The sequence below is a fragment of the Homo sapiens genome, chromosome 3 (genome assembly GCF_000001405.40).
Source record: "Homo sapiens chromosome 3, GRCh38.p14 Primary Assembly".
In the NCBI taxonomy this organism is placed as follows: Eukaryota; Metazoa; Chordata; class Mammalia; order Primates; family Hominidae; genus Homo; species Homo sapiens.
In genome coordinates this window covers 163,732,539-163,756,570 of record NC_000003.12, presented here as the reverse complement: position 1 = coordinate 163,756,570, position 24,032 = coordinate 163,732,539, and the positions used below count along the sequence as shown (strand labels likewise).

The 24,032-nt window shown below is 35.8% G+C and overlaps 1 annotated feature.

Annotated features, from left to right (window-relative positions):
• Nucleotides 2,933-3,433: an enhancer, noted in NCBI's record as "H3K27ac hESC enhancer chr3:163470926-163471426 (GRCh37/hg19 assembly coordinates)". NCBI's record gives its function as "activates a minimal SCP1, AML or CMV promoter by ChIP-STARR-seq in naive H9 embryonic stem cells {active_cell/tissue: H9 hESC(naive)}" and the evidence as "EXISTENCE:reporter gene assay evidence [ECO:0000049][PMID:30033119]".

The window sequence follows — 24,032 nt, the reverse complement described above, 5'->3', positions numbered from 1 at the left end:
TCTTTATCTCATCTTAATTCCTACAGATGAATTTTGCTGGGTATAGTATTTTTAGGTGGTAGTTTTGCTTTCTTAAAAAAAATTGAATATATTATCTTACTCTCTCCTGGCCTGCAATGTTTTGATAAAAAGCCTGCTTATAGTGTAATTTTTTTTTGTATGTGATACATCACTTGTTCTTTTGATACTTTCAGTGATTCTCCTTTGTCTTTGAATTTTGACAATTTAAATATAATGCATCTGAGGGTAGATATTTTTGGGCTTAACATATTTCTTTCTCTCTTCAAATTAAAAAAAAATACCCATTATTTATTTAAATGGATTTTCCTTCTCTTTCTGGGATTTTCATAATGTGAATATTATTTTACTTTATCGTGTTCCATAAGTCCTTCATACTTTATTCTTTTTCACTCTTTTCTATTCTTCTTACTGGATAATTTCAAATGACCTGCCTTTTAGTTCACCAATTCTTTCTTCTGCTGGATCAAGTCTATTGTTGCAACTCTCTGCTGAATTTTTTTTTAATTTTTAATTTCAATTTAGGTTCAGGGGTACATATGAAGGTTTGTTACATAGGTAAACTAAAGTCACAAGGGTTTGTTATACAGATTATTTCAGCACCTAGAAATTAAGCCCAATACCCAGTAGTTATCTTTTCTGATCTATGTCCTCCCATCCTCCACCCTCAAGTAGACCCCAGTGTCTGTTGTTTTATTTTTTGTGTTCATAAGTTCTTATTATTTATCTCCCACTGATGAGAACATGGGTATTTGGTTTTCTGTTCCTGTGTTAATTTGCTAAGGATCATGGCCTCCAGTTTCATCCATGTTCCCACAAAAGACATGATTTCATTCTTTTTTGTGCCTGCATAGTATTCCATGATGTGTATGTACCACATTTTCTTTATCCAATCTGTCATTGATGGGCATTTAGGTTGAGTCCATGTCTTTTCTATTGTAAACAGTGCTCCAGTGAACATTTGTGTGTATATGTCCTTATGGTAGAATGATTTATATTCCTCTGAGTCTATACCCAGTCATAAGATTGATGGATCAAATGGTAGTTGCGCTGCTAGCTCTTTGAGGAATTGCCATACTGGTTGAACTAATTTACACTCCCAACAGCAGTGTATAAGTGCCCCTTTTTCTCCACAGACTAGCCTACATCTGTTATTTTTTTTTATTTTTTGGAGATAGCCACTCTGACTGGTGTGAGATGGTATCTCGTTTTGGTTTTGATTTGCATTTCTCTAATGATCAGTGATATTGAGATTTTCTTCATATGTGGCTGGCTGCATGTATGTCTTTTTTTGAAAAGTGTTTATGTCCTTTGCCCACTTTTTGATGGGGTTGTTTTTCTCTTATAAATTTGGTTAAGTTCCTTATAGATGCTAGATATTGGACCTTTGTCAGATGCATGGTTTGCAAATATTTTCTCCCATTCTGTAGGTTGTCTGTTTATTCTATTGATAGCTTCTTGTGCTGTGTAGAAGCTCCTAAATTTAATTAGATCCCACTTGTCAATTTTTGCGTTTGTCGCAATAGCTTTTCATGTCTTTGTCATAAAATCTTTGCCTGATTCTATGCCCAGGATGGTATTGCCTTGATTGCCTTCCAGGGTCTTTATAGTTTCAGGTTTTACATTTAAGTCTTTAATCTATTTTGAGTTGACTTTTGTATATGGTGTAAGGAAGGGGTCCAACTTCGGTGTCTTCTGCATATGGCTAGCCATCTACTGAATTTTTTAATTCAGTCACTATATTCTTCATCTCCAAGTTTTTAATGGTTACTGTCTCTGTTGAATTTCTCATTTTTATATGTATTGTTGTCACAATTTTATGCATGTCTATCCATGTTCTCTTGTAATTTACTGAACTTCTTTAAGAGGTTTATTCCGAATTCTCTGTCAGTCAGTTAATAAATCTTCATTTGTTTAGGGTCCATTATTCTTTGTTTCCTTTGGTGGTGTCTTATTTTCCTGATTCTTCATAGTCCTTGTATTCTTGCAGTGTTGTCTTCCCATTTGAGGAGGCAGCCATCTCTTCTGGACTTGATAGATTTATTTTGGTAGGAAAATAATTTTATCAATAAGTTCATCCTGGGGTTCTGAAGGTGCCAGCTGTCAATGTGTATAAATAGGCAGGGCTCTCTATCAGGTGCTTTAGTTGGGCAGGGCTGTTGCCTACAATCCAAGGTCAGATAGTTTCACTGGCTGAGCTCCATATTCGGGAAAATCCTCTTGCTTGGTTTCATGATTGCTTCTGGTTGATCAGGACAGCACCCTGTGCTCTTAAGTCAGGTGTTGCTGCTGATTGGACTCAACAGTTGGGTAGGCCACAAGTTGGGTCCTGCCATAGCCCCTGGTTTAGTGAAATCCCAGGCTGTACTCTCTGGCTAGATGGTGCTGCTAGCTAGATCCCATGTTTTAACAGGGCTGCAGGTGGTAGTGGTCAGTGGCTTCATTCCACACTTAGGTGGGGTAACTGGCTATATTTCATGTTCTGGTGGAGTTTCCATCTGGGATTACTGCTCAAGTGGGGTGAAGTCTGTGCTCCGCAATTGGGTGGGGTTGCTAGCTGGGCTCCATGATCAGGCAAAGCTGGAGGCTGTTCTCTGTGGTCTGCAGGATAGCCAATCTGGTGTGGCTCCAGGTTATACTCTGTGATTGGTTGAGGTCAGTAGCTGGACTTCCTGCTGAGGCATAGTCACAGATTGTGCTCAGCAAATGGGTGGGGCTGTGGGCTGGGCTCCACTGTTTATTTTTTCTGTAGCATGGGCTCCACAGGCAATCCAGATAATTAGCTGGGCTCTCTGATTGTGTGGGCCCAGGGCGGGCCCCACAGTAGATCACGGTTATTGGCTAGGTTTTCTGTCTGGGCAGAGCTGTAGACTATGCTCCAATGTTTGGTGGGGTTTCTGTTTGAGCTCTTTGGTCAAGAGTGGCTAGAAGCTATGCTTTGAAAGTAGTGGGGTTACTGGCTTAGCTCACAGCCTGAGTCAAGCCTGCACTCTAAAGCTGGACCAGGGTACTGGCTACCAACCCAAGCTGGTCAGAACTGTTGATTGTGATTCCTGATATGATGATGCCATGGCTCAGCTGTGTGGGTGGTTGAAGCATCTGACTTTTCTCACTGTTTATACAATGCTTCTAGCAAAAATGTGGTGCCATTACCAAGACCCAGTGCTGGCTGTTGTAAGCCTTGTCCCTGTTCTTTGTTTCTAGCTGACAAAAGGTAGTCTAGCCCTGCTGATTTCACAGATTTCTTTGTAAGGCAAGACAGAAGTAGGCCTCCCAGGAAGTTCCTCAGAATGCTGAAGAAGCTGAATGTATGCCTTGGGCTCTCTTTGTTCTACTGGAGGAAATGTGGGCCTAGGCGAACCCTCTCAGTGTGGTGCTCTGCCTGCCTGAGGAAGAGGCAATGCCATCAAAATAAATATGTTCCTCTGAGCCCTCTTATGTGGCTTTTCTTAGGTTTTGTGGTCCAAGAGGGTGCTTCATCTTTATCTCCAGTTTCTGGGATTTTCACAAAGACATTTTTTTGTCTGTGAGTAGTTGCTACGTAAACTCTTTGTGAGGAGGGCTAAAGCTAGGGACCTCCTATTGTGCCATCTTGCTATTTTCACTCTGCTCTAATGAGAAATATTCTGAAATTTCTCCAGTTTCTAGTTGTCCTTAGCATCTTCATTATTCAATCAGGAATTTGCTCAAATAGACGCACAGATTGTCTAGTGTCATTTGTTGGATCCCAGAATAGATTTAGCCCTTATCAATTTTCTATTTTACCTGCTACTTTGAAGGGAGGAGAAGATCTAAAGTACATTTTTTTCTTTGTTTGCTTGTCTTTTAAGTTGATGTCCCTTGGTAAATGACTCTCAACTAGTCACTGCTATAGTCTGGATCTTAGTTGCTATATCTGTTGGTCCTATAAGCCTGAAAAGGAAGAACAGCAAAGTGTCTCTAGAGCGGGGACAAGCTCTAAACAAGGTGATGGAAAACACTCAAGAGAGGAGCTGAGGTGACTGTGGGCACTCTCCACTGAGGCCACCAATTCTTGAGGCTTAACATGTCTGTGAGGCTATATCCCTGAGATTGCAGCCCAGCGCACAGTACTCACTCTGTTGCAGACACAGCACTGATACACAGGTTGATGTTGCAGTGAGGCTAAATTCTACATTGTTAAGTCAAAAAGCTACTGGGAAACACTGTCTACAGTAAGTCCTTTTTTATGTAAAAAAATATAAAATAAAGGTGTACAGTGGTGAAAATGCATGCATTTGCTTGTGTATGTATAATAGAAATGATGATAAATGAATGAATATATTTACCTATGTAATTTAGTTGGAGCTCAGTTGGGGAAGATAAGAAGAAAGTTACTACTCTAAGTCCTGTATAACTGTTCGTATAATTTTGACTTTAAAAACCATATTATGGTTTATATGTTCAAGCAAATCAATCAAAAAGAATGGCAGGAAAAAAGAAAAACTTCATACTGAATATAAACAAAAAATTGAATATGATTTTATATAAAATTCTAACATAATCACAGAATTTTAGAAAAGAAAGAACTTTTAACAAGTTATTTTCATTGTATATCTTTAATTGTATATATTGTGAAGATAAAACAAAAGAACTGCAAAGATAATTTGCACTTTAATCAGTAAGGCTGTTTTTGGTAGTGTCACAAATCTGAAACTATTTTCTGCCTACTATACGATTGACAAATAAGCAATATACTGATGTCTAGAAGAATTAGATGTTTCCAGATAGGAGAAACAAGATACAAATATTAAATGAAAAAAGATAAAAAGAACTTTATAGCTTTGGATTGGAAAAAGACTTATCATTATTAACTCGAAATAACATAATGTGATGTTTGGTGTGATATAATATAATCTATATCTTAATAGCAGTAAAAAACAAACAAACAAACAAACAAAACCAACCAAACAACACCTAGGATCTAGATATTGATTTCTAAATACTATTTTCCATGGGAAGGAACCAAGGATCATTTGGATAATGCCATTTTCTAGACTGGTGCAAGGGAAGTATAAATGATGCATAAACCAACTTTCTCTGCTATAAAAGTGTTTAAGAAATGAGGAGATGTTTCTAGCATACAGGAGCTAGCTTGAAATGTTTCCCATTGGCAAACCTCTGTAAATATGAGTGGAGCACGTATGGATGTTCATCTTATTAGTTTTACCAGTAGTTTGTGTGTTTGAAATTTTTTCAAATAAATACCTTGAAATATTATAAGACCCTTTAATAAGTGAGCTAAGACCATTCACATTTACGGATAGAAGTAAAGATTTGTTACAATTTTTGCATATTATCTTATTATTAAAATGCATATTATGCTATTTTTACTGTTTTTGCCTCAAAGTTGCCTGTCTTTTAACTTTTAGATTCTCAGGGTATTTTTGGTTCTGACAGTTCAATATTTGTGCTAATGACTGACATTATACTAATAACTTTTATAATGTTTATAGTGGCTTTTTATTTTACTTAAATTTCCAATATTTAATTTTTATGATATAATGTGACTTTTTTCTTATTAACTATGCAAAATAATTTGGGTTTATTCCACTTTCTATGTTGTTTGTTCTTCCTCTTCATCTTTTTAGTCATCACATTTCTAATATGTAAAAATATGATATCTCCATATTTTTATCCTACAGGTTTATCTGGTTTTATAATTTTCTTTAAAGTAATTAAATATAATCATGCTTACTATCATATATGTTGCCAGTTTTCTCAGCCATTAATGGGTTGCTTGAAGCGTATCTTCTAGTATAGTCATTTGAAAAGGTCTACGACTATAGCTCTCTTCCAGTTACTAAATGTTTAAAACTCTTTCAATAAGATTGATATTTGGATCACTTTTTCTTTTATTGAGTTGCTTTAAAATATAACTTTTCACTGTTATGTTGTTTTACATGGTTTTGCCAAGAAATCTAATCCTAATATAATTTTCTTTCTTTCAGAATATACTTAGAATTTCTTTGAAATCCTTCAGTATATATTTTCATATTAAATTACTAGAACATTTATCAGAAATGATGACTTAACAACAGATCTCCTGAGTACATTTTGAATATGGAGATTCAATTTATGAGTATGTGTGTATATTTATGGAAAGATAGTTTGCTTGGTTTATATTTTTAAAAACTATTCTCGTCTATTTTGTTTTTCTTTTACATAAAATCTACCTACAGGTACACTAGGGCTTGTATTCTTATATATAGATCATTTCTGTAATGCTTTATCTTTTCTAATTTTTGTACTTTTGGCAACTTTCATTTATTCTTTAAATATTATTTACAACTTTATAGATATTTTTACTCTACCTATCAAGGATTCAATTCTAAAATGATATTTTTGTTTTCCCTTAATTTTCTTTTTTGTAAACTTTTATTTTAGGTTAATGGTTACATGTACATTAATGTACACGTACATTATAGGAGTCCCTAATCAAGAGGTCCTCCCATTGAACAGAAGCAGGAATTAAGACCTGCATGGAAAACAATCTGGCCACTTTCCATGGGGTGGTTGCACTGTGCTGGGGGTTGCATCAGTTTCTAATAACTGTATACCCTCCAGAGCTTGAGGGCAGCAGTGGCCAGGACTGTGGGAAAGCAAAAATGGCAGCCCGGTAGGGAGTGGTGGCTCACACCTGTAATCCCAGCACTTTGGGAGGCCGAGGCAGGCAGATCACTTGAGGTCAGGAGGTTGAGACCAGCCTAGCCAACATGGCAAAACCCCGTCTCTACTAAAAATACAAAAAAAATAGCCAGGCGTGATGGTGTGCATCTGCAGTCTCAGCTACTCGAGAGGCTGAGGCAGGAGAATCGCTTGAACCTGGGTGGCAGAGGTTGCAGTGAGCTGAGATCAGAGATCATGCCACTGCACTCCAGCCTGGGCAAAAGAGCGAGACTCTGTCCGACCCCCACCCCAACCCCCCACCACCAAAAAAAAAAAAAAAAAAAAGAAAGCCTTCTCTCTCTGGGAAATTACTCCCAGGAGAATGCAGAGCTGCTACTGGCCCAACAGCCCAGGCAGGGAATGGCTGGAGTCCTGTGCCAGTGGGCCTTACCCTCCAAGATGCAGTGGAAGCTGGATCTTCAGTCTCTTGCTACCCAGTCCCTTGGATTTGGCTTCTTTCTTGGGTGCATGCAAGGGAGCATGACTTCCCTCATTGCCGGAGATGCAGCTGCTAATGCCAGGATGCCTGGAGGTCCAAGTTCCCTGGGATTCTACGTATGCCAGAGCGGCAGCTCTGCCCTGACTCCACATAGCTCTCTGGGTCAGTCTGGATGTTGCTGTGGTGTGGACTCACAAGGGGATCTCCTGATCCCAAGGTTGCAATGGTCCATGGCAGAAGCGAGGGTCCACAGGGATTCTGACTCACTCACCTTTTCATGTGATGAGGTGGCCTCAGAGCCACTCCTGGGTGGGAAGTAATCTTGTCTTGCTCCTCTCCATTCTTCTTGGGTCCAGCTGTTTCTTTGATCAATCCTGTTGTATCCACCTGGCTCTTCCACTTGAAGATCTAGTATTTACTTGCCACTCTATCTCCTCTCTGTGAGAGCAGTGCATACTGGCTCCTCTTAGTCATCTTTGCACTGCCCTAATTTATTTTCTTAGTTTGATAAACTACATTTTACATGTACCTGTCAGGTCTATTATGGGGAGGTAAGTTTACTGATTGAAAATAATATGAGATCTTGAGACATAGAATATAAGTATTTAGGACACAGGTGAGTCTGAGATATTTGAATCCCACTTTCATTTATCTGTGAAAATCTTCAAAGAAGCAATGATTTATTCATTTTTAAAAATAATTGATTTAATTGATTGTGTGTCAGTTGTATAATTTTTCTGGTGGTCTTCCGGTTTTCACTTACGCGGTTGCAATCAGGATAAGGTAAACATGGGGTTAGGCTTAGGTAGGGCATTTGGAAAGATGGACCCCTTTTTCATTATATTCATTCTCCTGACCTACTTTACAAGATGGAACAGAGCAGAATTTTTGAGGTTGCAGGGGAAAGCTGTAAGGTCTAGGACTCCGAATTCATGCAACATCACTTCCACTATATTCTATTGCTCAAAACATTCAGAAAGCCTGTAAAGTTTTAGAAAAGTCTCATTACAAAGCAGTATATGTACAGGGATAGGAGGAATTCCTTCGCATTAAACAATCTGTCCTTGACTATCATACACACGCACACACACGTGCATGCACACACACACAAACACACACTAAAAAACAAAACAGTATAGATTAGGAATTCTTCCTAAACTTCCCTTGTTAGAATAATCAAATCCCTTCTAATTTCAGATAGCCAGGTCTTTTATTTCTTCTGGTTTTCTATGAACTTTTGGAACATGCCTCCTAAGCTGAGGATGTGTGCCCTTAACAATCACTGTCAGTTTCATGTTGCATCTAGTTCCATCTAGACCCCTATTGAGACATAGATGTCATCACTGCATTGCATAGAAAAACGGCATAGCACAGAAAAGTTCTACTCTGGAAGAAAGACGATATACCATAGAGGTACAAGTACTTACCAATTTTTCTTGGTAATAACTAAGGGTCATGTAAATGCTAAGAACATCAATTAAAGCAAGGAAGATAAAATACAAATGTCAATTTGGGCAGATTCAGTAACATGAATTCCCTTTCCTGAGACTTGGAAGTTAATGTCTCTGATCTGTAACAAAGAAAAACTATTGCATTGAACTAGTTTAGATTCATTGATGGCCTATATTTGATAAGCTTGAAATCAGGGAACATCACTAATGAAGAAAGCATTCCAAAATATAGGAGATAGAAATTTTAAAATAAATTTATTATACAATTTATGGTATATAGTAATTGTGTAGAGGATATATCTATTTACTATGGCTTTTATAATACCTAGCCCACAAATTGGATTTGACTCCACACTTAGTCTTTTAGACTCTTCCAAGCTAGTTATGTATATATTCAGTCACACACAGAATCTTTCTCAAAAAATTTTGGTGAAGACTTTAAAAGTTAAGTCATGTTAACTGGTTATCTCAATAAATGTAAAATACATGGTAGTTCTTTTCATCACAACATTTACACTAGTTCACAAATAAAGGAAAGAATCACCAAGGCAAATTTAAAAAAATACAACGTTGAAGGATTACATCACTGAATACTGAGATATTATAAAATTGTAGTAAATATGATAGGATAGTATTTGCTTATGGATTGAGATAGATCAAAGTAATTATATTGAAAGTTCAGAAATCATCCATAAATATATGAACATATGATTTATGCTAATTGGATGCATATAAAATAGAGTAAAAAAGGACTGTATTTTCAATAAATATTTCTAAGTCAATTGTGTATCACTGTAGAAAAATACATAACTTGATGCTTATCTCAGACCATACATAAAAATGAAGTCAAATGGATTATAAGTGTGTATATTATAGGTAAAATAAAAAAGACTCTGAAAGATAAATATAAGAATATATCCGTGACATTGATTGAACTTTTTAACAGAACAGAAAAATTAATAACCATAAAATAATGTATTGGTAATTTGACAAATTATAGAGCTATTTGTTTATTGAAACAAAAAAGGAACAAAATCAAAACAAGGACAAGCTACATCAGTGAAGAATAAATGATATTGATTCTTTCAATTCATGAGTATGGGATGTTTTTCCATGTATTTGTATCATCTCTGATTTCTTTGAAAAGTATTTTGTAGTTCTTCTAGGAGAGATCTTTCACCTCCTTGGTTAGCTGTATTCCTAGGCATTTAATTTTTTTGTGGCTGTCATAAAAGGGATAATGTTCTTAATTTGACTCTCAGCCTGAATGTCACTGATGTATAAAAATGCGGCCGGGCGCGGTGGCTCACGCCTGTAATCCCAGCACTTTGGGAGGCCGAGGCGGGCGGATCACGAGGTCAGGAGATCGAGACCATCCTGGCTAACAAGGTGAAACCCCGTCTCTACTAAAAATACAAAAAATTAGCCGGGCGTGGTAGCGGGTGCCTGTAGTCCCAGCTACTCGGGAGGCTGAGGCAGGAGAATGGCGTGAACCCAGGAGGCGGAGCTTGCAGTGAGCCGAGATCGCGCCACTGCACTCCAGCCTGGGCGACAGAGCGAGACTCCGTCTCAAAAAAAAAAAAAAAAAAAAAATGCTACTGATTTTTGTACAATAATTTTGTATTCTGACACCTTGCTAAAAGGTTTACACAGATGTTGTTCTAGAACCAAGAAACTATTAAATTAGAAGTAGAAAAAAATTATGCATTTGTTTAGAAATTAATAAAAACACTTCTAATTAACTCATGAATATAAGAAAAAATTTATAATTTTTAATTATTTATTTTAATTTTTGACTCTTGTTATGAATATACACCAGTATATATTTATTGTATACATGTGATATTTTGATAAAACCATACAATGCATAATGATTAATCAGGGTAATTGTGCTATTCATCACCTCAAGCATTTATCATTTCTTTATGTTAGTGACATAATTTGGATATTTGTCCCCACTCAAATCTCATGTTGAAATGTAATCTCCAGTGTTGGATGTGGGGTGGTGTTTGGATCATGAGGGCAGATCTGTCATAAATGGCTTGAGCTATCCTCTTGGTAATAATTGTGCTCTTGCTCTGAGTTCACATGAGATTTGATCATTTAAAAGTGTATGGATCCTCCTTTGTCTTCCTCTTGCTCCTGCTTTCTGCACTGTATGTGTCTGCTCCCCCTTCGATTTCCATCCTGATTGTAAGGTTTCTGAGGCACCCCTAGAAGCTGAGCAGATGCCAGCACTATGCTTCATATACAGCCTGAAGAACCATGAGTCCCAGTCTCAGGTATTTTGTTATAGCAATGCAAGAACAGCCTAACACAGAATATAGGTACTAATAAGTGAGGCATTTCTGTAAAGATACCTGAAAAATGTGGAAGCAATTTTGCAACTGGGTAACAGGCAGATGTTGAAAGAATTTGGAGGGCTTAAAAGAAGACAGAAAAATGAGGGAAAGCTTGGAACTTCCTAGAGATTGGTTAAATGGTTGTGACTGAAATACTGATAGTGCTATGGACAGTGAAGCACATGGTGAAAAGGTCTCAGATGCAAATGAGGAGCCTATTGGGAACTGGAGCAAAGGTCACACATGTTATGCTTTAGCAAAGAGCTTGGCTGCATTGTGTCCATGCCCTAGGGATTGGTGAAAGTTTGAACTTTAGAATGACAAATTAGGGTATCGGATGGAAGAAATTTCTAAGCAGCAAAGCATTCAAAATGTGCTCTTGCTGCTTCTAACAGCCTGTGCTCAAATTCAGGAGCAAATAAATGACTCGAGTTTGTATTTAAAAGGGAAGGACAGCTTGAAAATTTGGAAAATGTGCAGCCTAGCCATGTGACAAAGAAAGACAAAGTTTTTGGCGTTTTGTTTTGTTTTTTTTTTTTTTAGATGGAGTCTAGTGCTTTTGCCAGTTTGGAGTACAGTGGCACGATGTCAGCTCACTGCAACCTCCACCTCCCTGATTCAAATGATTCTCCTGCCTCAGCCTCCCATGTAGCTGGGACTACAGGTGTGTGCCACCATGCCCAGCTAATTTTTGTATTTTCAGTAAGGATGGGGTTTCATCATGTTGGCCAGGATGGTCTCGATCTCTTGACCTCATGATCTGCCTGCCTTGGCCTCCCAAAGTGCTGGGATTACAGGCATGAGCCACTGCACCCAGCCCAAAAAGCTTTTCTGGGAGAGAAATTAAAGCAGACTATGGAGCAACCACTTGCTAGAGAGATTTTCATAACTAAAAAGGAGGCAAATGCTAATATCAAGACAATGTGAAAAAGACCTCAAAGGCATTTTAAAGACTTTTGCAGCAGCCCCTCCCATCACAGGCCCAGAGGCCAAGGAGGGAAGAATGGTTTTGTAGGCCAGGCCCAGGGCTCTGTCATCCTTGACAGCCTCATGACACAGCTCCCTGCATCCAGATGTTTCAGCTCCAGCTGGGGATCAAAGGGGCACAGGTACATCTTGGGCTGCCACTTTGGAAAATTCAAACCATACACTTAGGTGGCCTTAAGGTGGTGGAGTGCAAGAGCAATGTGTGTTCTTGGCTGTCTCTCCCTAGATTTTAGAGGATGTATGGAAAAGCCTGGGTGTCCAGGCAGAAGCCTGCTGCAAGGGTAGACCCTTCACAGAGAACATTTACTATAGCAATGTGAGGGCAAAGGTGAGGCTGGAGACCCCACAAGGTGTCCCCACTGGGGTACCACCTAGTGGAGCAATGAAAAGGTTGCCAATTATCTTCCAGACTCGAGAATGGTAGATCCACATGCAGCTTGCACTGTGCATCTAGAAGAGTCTTAGGTGCTTGGCAACAAGCTGTTAGAGCAGCTGGGTACCCTGCACCCTGTGAAACTACAGGAGGAGAGCTGTCCTAGGCCTTGGGTGCCCACCCCTAGGACAAGTGTACCCTGTATGCAGGATATGTAGTCAAAGGAGGTTACTTTTAAACTTTAAGATGTAGTGACTGCCCTACTGGGATTCAGACTTGCCTGAGGTTTATAGTCCCTTCCTTTTGGCCAATTTCTCTCATTTGAAATGGCAATGTTTACCCAACACGTATACCTCCATATCTTGGAAATTAATAACTTGTTTTAAATTTTATAGGCTCATAGGTGAAAGAGACTTGCCTTGTCTCAGTTGAGACTTTGAACTTTTGAATTAATGTTAGAATGAGTTAAGACTTTGTAGGACTCTTGGGAAGGAATGGTTGTATTTTGCAATGTGAGAAGGACATGAGATTTAGGGAGGCAGGGGTGGAATGACATAGTTTAGATATTAGTCTTTATCCAAACCTCATATTGAAATATAAACCCCAATATTGGAGGTGGGGCCTGGTGCAAGGTGTTTGGATCATGGGAGCAGATCTCTCATGAGTTACTGTGTCATTGTCTTCTTGACAGGTGAGCTCTCATTTAGAGAATCTGAGTTTACATGGAATCTGGTCATTTCAAAGGGCATTGCACCTATTCCCTACTGAGGCCTCCCTGGAAGCCAAGTAGATGCCACCACCATGCTTCTTGTGAATTCTGCAGAGCCGTAAGCCAATTAATTTTTTTAAATAAATTACCCAGTCTTAAGTATTTTGTTATAGCAAAGCAAAAACAGCCTAATACAGTTAGGGACAGTCTATATTTTAGGGTTTTTTTGAAATATACCATAAATCATTATTAACCACAGTCAGCCTATTGTGCTACTGAACACTAGATCTTATTTCTTTTATACAGTTTTTTGTAATAATTGATGATGCCCTTTATTCCTCACTCCCCACTATCCTTGTCAGCCTCTCTAACCACATTCTATTCTCTGTTCCCATGAGGTTAATATTTTTTAGCTCACACTTAAGAGTGAGAGCATGTGATATTTGTCTTTCTGTGCCTGACTCATTTCACTTAACAGTGTCATTTTCCATCCATGCTGTTGTGACAGAATTTCACATTTAATGGCTCAATAATATTCCATTGTGTATATGTACCACATTTATTTATCCATTCATATGCTGGTGGACACTTTCATTGATTCCTGATTGAGAATAGGGATGCAATAAACATACTAGTGAAGATCTCTCTTTGATATACTGATTTCCTTTTTAAGATATGTACCCAGCTGTGGTACTTCTGAATATTATGGTAATTCCATTTTTAGTTTTTTGAGAAACCTACATATTGTTTTCCTTAGTAGCAGTACACATTTACCTTTCCACCACCAGCATATGAGAACTCCCATTTCTTCACATCCTTGCCAGAACCTGTTATATAGGCTGCCTATTCCATAAAAGATTTTAACTGGGGTGAAGTGGTATCACATTGTAGTTTTACTTTTCACTCCTCTGATGATTAGTGATGCAAAACTTTTTTTCATATACCTGTTGGACATTCATGTGTCTTTGTATTAGTCTGTTCTCACATTGCCATAATTAAATACCTGAGCCTGGGTAATTTATAAAGAGTTTTAATTGGCTCAAGTTTCCACAGACTTATAGGAAGCATGGCTGGGGAAGACTCAGGAAATTTATAATCGTGATGGAAAGCAAAGGGGAAGCAGGCATGTTTTACATGGCCAGAGCAGGAGAAAGAGAGAGAGCAGAGTGGTGCTGCACACTTTTTTTTTTAAATTATACTTTAAGTTTTAGGGTACAAGTGCACAACGTGCAGGTTTGTTACATAGGTATACATGTGCCATGTTGGTGTGCTGCACCCATTAACTCGTCATTTAACATTAGGTTTATCTCCTAATGCTATCCCTCCCCCATTCCCCCACCCCACAACAGGCCCTGGTGTGTGACATTCCCCTTCCTGTGTCCCTGTCTTCTCATTGTTCAATTCCCATCTATGAGTGAGAACATGCGGTGTTTGGTTTTTTGTCCTTGCGATACTTTGCTGAGAATGATGGTTTCCAGCTTCATCTATGTCCCTACAAAGGACATGAACTCATCATTTTTTATGGCTGCATAGAATTCCATGGTGTATATGTGCCACCTTTTCTTAATCCAGTCTATCATTGTTGGACATTTATGTTGGTTCCAAGTCTTTGCTATTGTGAATAGTGCCACAATAAACATACGTGTGCATGTGTCTTTATAGCAGCATGATTTATAATCCTTTGGGAATATACCCAGTAATGGGATGGCTGGGTCAAATGCTATTTCTAGTTCTAGATCCTTGAGGAATTGCCACACTGACTTCTACAATGGTTGAACTAGTTTACAGTCCCACCAACAGTGTAAAAGTGTTCCTATTTCTCCACATCCTGATTTTGTGACCTGCAAATGTAATGACTTAATGAGTTCTAAAAATTTTATGTTTTTTTTTCCTAGATACAAGTTCCTGTCATCAACAAAGAGGGACAATTTAAATGCCTCTTTTCCAATTTAAATGTCTTTCTTTCTTTTTCTTACCTTACTGTTTTGGCTAGAATTTCCAGTACTATGTTAAAGGGAAGTGGGGAAAGTATGCATCCTTGCCTTGATCCAGATCTTAAAGGAAATATTTCAACTTTTCCACTTTCAGTATCATGTTACCGGTAAGTTTGTCATATATGGCCTTTATGATTTTAAGATATGGTCCTTCAATGTCTATTTTGTTGAGTTTTTTTAATCAAAAAAGGCTGTTCAATTTTAACAGGTTATTTATCTGTAGCTATTGCAATGATCATATGGTTTTTTTGTCATTCTGTTGATGGTGATGTATCACATTTATTGATTTTCATATGTGAAACCATCTTAACAACCTGGAATAAACCTTACTTGATCACAGTGTATTATCTTTTTGATATGCTGTTGGATTTGGTTTGCTAGTATTTTGTTGAGAATTTTTGCATCTAACTTGTTTAGTTTGTTCTTTTCCTATTTACTTCAGGTATAATGTTATTTGAAATCTTTCTGCTCTTTTAATGTGAGTGTGTATTTTTATAAATATTTATCTTAGAACTTTTGCTGTATCCCATAAGTTTTGATATGTTATGTTTTCATTTACCTCAAGATATTTTGAAATTTTCCTTTTAATTTCTTATTTGACACATTGGTTGTTCAGAAGCATCAGTAGCATGGTGCATAAGTAGCCTGGGAGCAACAGTCTCCATTTAGCCACAGTATGTACAAGGTTGTGTTATCTATGTTTATGTAAGCAAACTCTATGATTCTACACAATGATGAAATTGCCTAATGACACATTTCTCAGAATGCATTCACATTATTAAGCAACACATGATTATATTTGTGAATTTTTTTGAAATTCCTTGTTATTGATTTCCAGTTTTGTAGCATTGTTATTAGAAAAGGTTCTTTATATGATCTCAATCTTCTTAAATTTTCTAATACTTACCTTGTGACCTGACATACAATTTATCCTGGATAATATTTTTTGTGTACTTGAGAAAATTGTGTATTCCATTGCTATTGGAAGAAATATTCTGCAAATGTCTGTTAGGTTCATTTGTTCTAAAGTATTGTTCAAGTCCAGTTTTTCCTTATTAATTTTCTGTTTGGATGATATTTTTATTGTTGAATGTATTTGTTATTGAAGTGCTTTTCTATTATTGTATTGAAATCTACCTCTTCTTTTTAGATTTTTGAATATCTGCTTTATATGGTAGGTGTTTCCGTATTGGGAGAAACAGTCAACCCTTTGTATCTGAGGGCTCTGCATCCACAGATCTACCAATCAAAACTACTTTTTAACAGACAATAAAAAGATGAATAAAAACGATACAAATAGAAAACAATAGAGTATAATTACTGTTTGTGATAGTATTTACATTGTATAGGTATTATAAATAATTTAGAGATGATTTAAATTATATGGGAAGGTATGAATTAGTTTTATGCAAGTACTATTCAATTTTATATAAGATACTTGAGCATTCACCAAGTTGTGTATTTTCAGAAGGTTCTGAAATGAATGCCTGATAGCAAGGGGTGACTTCACATAACAATTTTTATACTATTTTGAAGAATTGATCCATTTATCATTATATAATGTACTCCTTTTTTTTCTATTTACAGATTTTGACTTAACGTTTATTTTGTCTGATATAAGTATAGCTACTTTTGCTTTCTTTTGGTTTTCATTTATGTGGAATGCCTTTTTCCATACCTACACTTTCAATCTGTCAATGTCCTTAAAAGCAAGGTAAATTTTTGTAAGCAGCATATACTTTGTCTTCTCTTTTTTATGCATTCAGTCACTTTATTTTTATATTGGAGAACCCAATCCATTCACATTCCTGTTAACTATTGACAGGTAATGACTTACTACTAATATTTCATTAATTATTTTCTGGTTGCTTTGTTTTTTACTTCTTTTCTTGTTGTGTTCCTTTGTGGTTTGATATTTATCTGTATGCTTTGAATTCTTTTTACTTTTAGTTTGTGCATTTACTAAAGACTTTGCTTTTTCGTTACCACGAGGTTTATAAAAAATATCTTATAATAGTCTGTTTTAACCTAACAACAAGTTAACTTTGATTGCATACAACTCAACACTTTTACTCCTTTTCCAACAATTTATGTTTACGATGGCAGAATTTACATTTTGTAATATATATTTCTTGACAATTTATTTTAGCTATAGTTATTAATCACTTTGTCTTTTAACTGTCTTATTAATGATAAATGTGCTTTATACACCAGCATTACAGTCCTAGAGTATTCTAATATAGATCTGCATTTCTTATACCATTGAGTTTTCTACTTTCATAAATTTTATGTTGTTACTATTATGAGCCTTTTGTTTCAGCTTAAATAACTCCTTAAGCAATTTTCCTTAGAGGCATACCCAATGATCATTAACTCCCTTGGCTTTAATTTGTCTCAGAAACTTTTTATTTTTTCCCCATTTCTGAAAAATAGCTTTGCTGGATAAAGTATTCATGAGTGGCAGTTTTGTTTTTCCTTCAGCACTTTGAGTATATCATCCCATTTTCTCCTGACTTGCATAATTTCTGCTGAGAAATCCACCAGTAGTCATACTTACACTTTTTTAATGTGATGAATTTATTATCTCTTTATGCTTTTACACTTATTTCTTTGTCTTTGTGTTTTGATAGTTTGAGTACATGTCTTGATGGACTCTCTGGGTTTCATGTTATTGGAGACCTCTGCAATTTCTGTACCTGGATGTTGACATCAGGAATATTTTCAGCCATTATTTTTTAAAATAGACTTTTTGGCTCTTTTTCTCTTGCTTCTTCTCCTTATTTAATTTTAATTATTTTAATGTTTGATCTCTTGATGGTGCTCCATAATTTTTATAGGCTTTCTTTATTGTTTTTCATTCTCTTATCTCTTGCTTCTCTGATTGAATAGTTTTGAATATTCTGTTTTTGAGTTCAATAATCTTTGCTTCAGCTTGATTGAGCCTACTGTTAAAGCTTTCTATTGTGTTTTTGATATCAGTTGTCTTGTTCATCTCTAGGATTTCTATTTTCTTTCTTAAATTATTTCCCCTTGTTTGTCCAACTTCTCATTTAATTCCTGTATTGCTTTCCACATTTTATTTCTTATTCATCTATTTTTTGGAGTTGGCTAAACTTTTGTAGAATTCTTCTGAATTCTCTGAGTTTGAGTGGAACAGCTGCATAAGCTCTGCTGTCCGCTGATACCACTGGCTGAGCTCATCAATCAGGCTGAGAGACTGGATGAATCCTGCAATTGCCTCTGATAAGGTTAGCCTAGAGGGTGTATTCCTAGGCCATGTAGACTTCTATTTGAGTTCCTCAGTTGTACAGTGTTTCTGGAGGGGCTCTGATTTCAGTTAGAGTCACTGCTTTAGATGAATTAGACAATCTGCTATATACTCAATAAAAATGCATGGTTGAGGTTTGCCTGCCTCCCTGCCTGAATCTCAGCAGAGTACTGTTTAAATTCCCAGGTATGGCAGAATTAGTCCCTTCCCCCTGCTGAAGTACACAGCAGCATGCATCTGTTTCACTGGGTAGCCTGAGATGGGATCTGAAGCTGGTTCTAAAGGATGCCCTCTAGGGATTAAAGACAGGTAAAAATTTCCACCACTTCAGCTTGGCTTTGTGGGTCGACTGTGCTGTTAGCTGATACCTGTGACTGTGTGCCACTATTGTCAGGTATACAAAGCTACCACCATGATTTGCACACTTGTTGGTGTAGGCTACTTGCTTTGTTTCTACCTCACCCCAGATGGTCTAGCTACACTGTCACCCCTGTGTTTCCTGTGAGGTGAGATGGGAGTGGGCTTCTTGAGAAGTAACTCAAAATGCTAGGGAAGCTGTATGTCCACCTCCAGTTCTCTGTTTCCACTGTAGAAACCATGGGCCCTGGGGAATCCTCTCTGTGTGCTACTGTGCCAACTTCAGGAAGAGGTAGGGATGACACAAAGTAAGATAATTTCTTTCACTGTTTTAATCAGTTTTTAATCAGTTTAGTGGGCCATGCAGGAGTCTCAGACTTATTCTCAAGATTAGAAGTTTTCAACAAGGTGTCCTTGCCTGGGGATAGTTGCTAGATGAAATTTATGTGAAATGTAGTGAAGTCTGAGATTCCCTCTTCTGAAATCTTGCTGACATCACTTATCTATATAGTATGTTTTTAAGCTAAGTGTATAGGGAAGTGTTTAAGACTTCTCAAGCCCAAATAATAAAAAATAAGGCTAAATTATTCAAATAGTTGAAATTTAAAAACACTGTTAAAACACTTTAAAAAGAATAAAAAATTCAGATGCTCAGAGAAGATCTTTGCAGCATATATGTAATCTCTATAATTTTCAGCATCTAAAATGTTAGTACAGCACACAGAGATTATTATTAGACTTTAACAAGTCAATAAATAAAATAAAACCAAATGAAAAAAATGATATATGACATGATTGAGAATGTTACAAAGAGAACCAGGGTGAGTACTCACATGCAAAAAAGTTCATTAGTCATCACAGAAATGCAAATTTAGATAACATAATACATCCAATATACTCGTCAAAACTTATGTCTAATTATGAAAAGTATTGTTGAAGATATGGAACAACTTGTATACATTGCTAGTGAAAATATTAATTTGAATAACATTTAAAAATTTGGTAATTTAAACCATGTTTCAATAATTTTGTTTCTACCTATATAATCTGGAGAAACCTATGAATACTTGCTTTAGGAGACATTTATAATAATGCATATAGCAGCAATGTATTTAAACATTTTATTTATTAGTGAATGAATACATTAAAATCATATATAGATAAAAATGTGTAGGCCATATATATATGTACATATATATCACAGAAGCAAAACGTCCCAAGAAAAAATGCAAGCTGTAAAATACTTCATAAATTGTGTTAACATTTGAAACATTTTAAAAAGAAGTCAAACCATATATTGCACAATGATATATAACATTATTTTATAAGCTATTATAGAAAAGCAAAAGAATAGAAAACATAAAATTCAGTATATTCTCAATCCCAAAATGTCAGGAAAATTGAATAAGGGATGAGAGGGGGTTCAAGGTTATTTGTAGCATTAAGTTTTTAATTTTAGATGTTAATTAACGTGTTCCCCTTTTTTTTGTCCTGGATGTTAAAGTTCATAACTTAAAAATATATTATCATTTTCTGTCTTGAATGTGTCAGTAGTATAAAATAAATGCATAATTTTATTTTTAAATAAATACAAATCAAGTTTTAAATTTCAGTGTGTATGATATCTTTAAAGATCTTTATGCATATTTCAAAAGATAAAGACAAATATCTAAAAGCCTACAGTGCATAGCAAAAAATGATAAATACCACAGAAAGGGGCAAATATTTGCCTATAAAATCTTAGGAAAGGAGAAGTTTATATCAGCCAAAATATTTTTTTGAAAGTGGCATGGACATCACAGTTGGTCTTTAATATGTGTGATTTATGTATTTGAATACATGCATGCCAAATATGTGTGTTGCAGGAATGTCTGGAGTATTTTTATGGTGTAGTCCTACATTACTTATTGGACTATGCTATAGATTCTGTTGTAACTTAGAGGGTGCAGAATTACTGAAATAGGAAATTGATTGGATATTTTTTATGAGACCATATTACCTTGAAAAAATATCTATTTCATTTTAGTTTATATTTATGTAAAATATTATAGTAAAGATATTGGGAATCATCTAGGCACATGAGTGAATTAGTGAAACGTGGCTGGGTTTAAAAATATTAAATCAGAAATGCAAGTTTTATTATCCCAATTGATCCTTTTCTTCCTACAATGCATCCTGTATAAGAACTAAACCCCATTTTTTTACTATTGCCATTTTTGGGTCTCATATTTGTGATGCCTTGTGAAGGACAACCTTTGCTGTCTTTACCACTAGTACAGTGTAGCACAAACATCTTATCATCATTGAAATAAACTTCTTATGTCTCAAATCTACTCACATTTGGTTAGTATGACGTAATGAAAGTATGCTGATTTTGAAATTTATGTAAAGTGTTTTGGAGAACTTTTGAGAAAAACATACAGTTTATTCATAGTTTGGCATTAACAAAGACTCAGATTCTATCTGACCTACTCTCATCAATCAGCTTTTTAAAATTTAAAAATATTCATACTACACTTTAAAATCATTGTTATCTGTTATGATTTTAAACATAACAGATAATAATCAATGTTGATTAATTACACCGTTAACAATTTCACAGAATTTAAAAAGTTCTACAATGGTGTTTTATATGTTAAATATTCTTTTGATAAATACATTAAATTAACAAAATAAATCTGGAAGGCAAGACAAATTCTGCACACATGCTATATTTATTTTTTGTAAATAGTACAAATTTCCAGCAGAGAAATTACTTCACTATCTTCAGACAAGCTTATATTACAGTCATATAACTTCTTTTATTTTATGCAAATTTTATCCAGTCATTCTGTTTCTTTTTGCTTACATCCATAGGCACTTGATTTCTGGCATTTGCTAGAGGATAATTTTGCAAACCACTACAAAAATGATTTCATCATCACTGGTGAAATCTTCTTAGGGGCTAAAATGTTTTTATAAATGACTCCTTGAAAAACTCAAAAGTGCTATTTTAAAATTCAAGATGAGATTTTTCCTCTCATTGACTTAACACCGTTTAATGTTATGTCATTTTTGAAATGGCAAAGTGGATATTCAAACAAAGGATACCTCAGTAAGCTGCCTATACTTATGAGACTATTTTACTCTTTTAAATAAATTTGGCCGGGCGAGATGGCTCACTCCTGTAATCCCAGCACTTTGGGAGGCCGAGGCGGGTGGATCACCTGAAGTCAGGAGTTCGACACCAGTTTGGCCAACATGGCAAAACCCTGCCTCTACTAAAAATACAAAAATTAGCCAGGTGTGGCGGCGGGCACCTGTAATCCCAGATACTCGGGAGACTGAGGCATGAGAATCACTTGAACATGCGAGGCAGAGGTTGCAGTGAGCTGAGACTGCACCATTGCACTCCAGCCCAGGCTACAGAGTGAGACTCCATCTCAAAAATGAATAAATGAATAAACAAACAAATAAATAAACAAAAATTTACAATAGATAGAAATCTCTTTTGCAGTGTTCGGTAAGAATGATTTTATAAGCCATGATCTAGATTCTCCAGTTAGGGGTATGTGTGGTGCTGGAACACTCTGTACTGATGCTTTAGTATTTTCCTAAGTGTTCTTTCAAGTTATACAGCAATTCCCAGCTTTTCCTTTTAGTTAATTTTGGGACAAAGTTTTAATGAGCCTGTTTTTATCTTGTCATAAAATACATTTGTAATGTTGATCTCTGTTCTAATGCTCATGAGGAAGATCCACTTTAGAATAATTTGTTACACCTTTATTGACAGGAGGGTGAATATCTATTCTAACTAAAACCACATTTTCCTCACCCAAGGCAACACTGTTCTCTTTCAACTTCATGGCAATTGTTGTGTGTTTATTGTCCTTTTTTTGTGGCGTGGGGGTGAGAAAGGCTCTGTTGTTCTTGCTGTAGTTGTGGTTTATAGACATTTTGAAAGAGAAATTGATATCACTGTAGCTGTAATAATACAAGTGTCTTTCTATTTTTTAGATAAAAGTAACTAAAGATACCAATGAATTAAGAATTCATAACATGCCTAATGTCCCTTACATGTTCTACTTTCACCCTCTCCCAAAATATTTTATCAAATTCATATATAAATGCACTTTGCTAATATTTTTATATTTAAAATTTATTGTCTGTCATGGTGCAGCCTTTCTGTCTGTTCCTTCATCATCCCTCCAGGATAAAGGAGATATGTTTTTACTTTGCTCATAGTTGTATCCCAAACCCCTAGATAGGAAGAGACTGAATAAATATGAATTCGGGCATTAATGAATTGTGTAAACAACTGTAGTCTCAGCTGATACATTGAGACTTTAGTTATCTTAAGTGTCATCAAAACCTATTAGTTTGCTAAACATAAATTAATGCACATACTTTGGAGTAAAGGTAAAGAACACATTTCAGTGAATATGCTTTGGCATCATCTGTTTTCTTACATTAATTAAGCAAGAAAAACTATTCTCATTAAAAGAGACACTAAGGTTGCGTTTTATCTTGCATACTTGTGCTTCTTCATTTTCTTTTTCGTTTTTATAAATACACTAAAATGCTGAGACTTGTATTCACCAAACTTAGAGACACATTGAAGGTAATCTTAAACATTCTCTCCAGCCTGAATAGAATGTTATACTCTCAATAGATTTTATGGTTTTCAATTTTCCTTCACAAATCTTAAGTAATCTCCATTTCTCAAAGCCTAATGTATTTCAATGTATGCCATCTGTAACTCGATTTCTTCTTCTTCAAAAATGCTGAAGTCTACTTAAATCCTAATATCTTTGCAACTGCTGGAAATTTTTCTTCAATCTTGCTATCATTTTAAGCTCACATTTTCAACCCCATGAGGATAATATGCTGTAGCCAAAATATGCTGTGACTTTTGTCACTGTTGTAATTCAGCTTCAGAATCTGTTTGCAACCCCTTTTGGTTCTGTATTAATTTAATCAGCTATGCAAAGAAAATGAGAGGCCATAGAAAAAGCCCTTTAAATTTTTAAGTATCTAAAGTCACTACCCACATAGAGCTATTAGTACAGCATATCCCTTAATTCTTATGTTTTGAGTAAAATTAATTTAATTAAAATAACAAATTTAAGAATTCTGAGGGATAGGAACAACTAAAAATTTCAGATTTTCACTTTCTCATATACAAAGAAAAACAATATTTAACACATGTGAAAATAGTTATTTAAAATATAAGTCTGTGTTTTGAATATTTATTTATCCTGAAATTAAATTATTTTCACAGTTTTATTATTTAAACTTAAGAAGAAAAATATTTTCTCTTGTTTTTCTACCTGTTCCTCTCTGCTAAACTACTTTGAAGTATTCTTAATGAAAAAGATAAATACTTCAAGGAATGTTCTTATAAAGAAGTTAGTAAAATATTTATTGT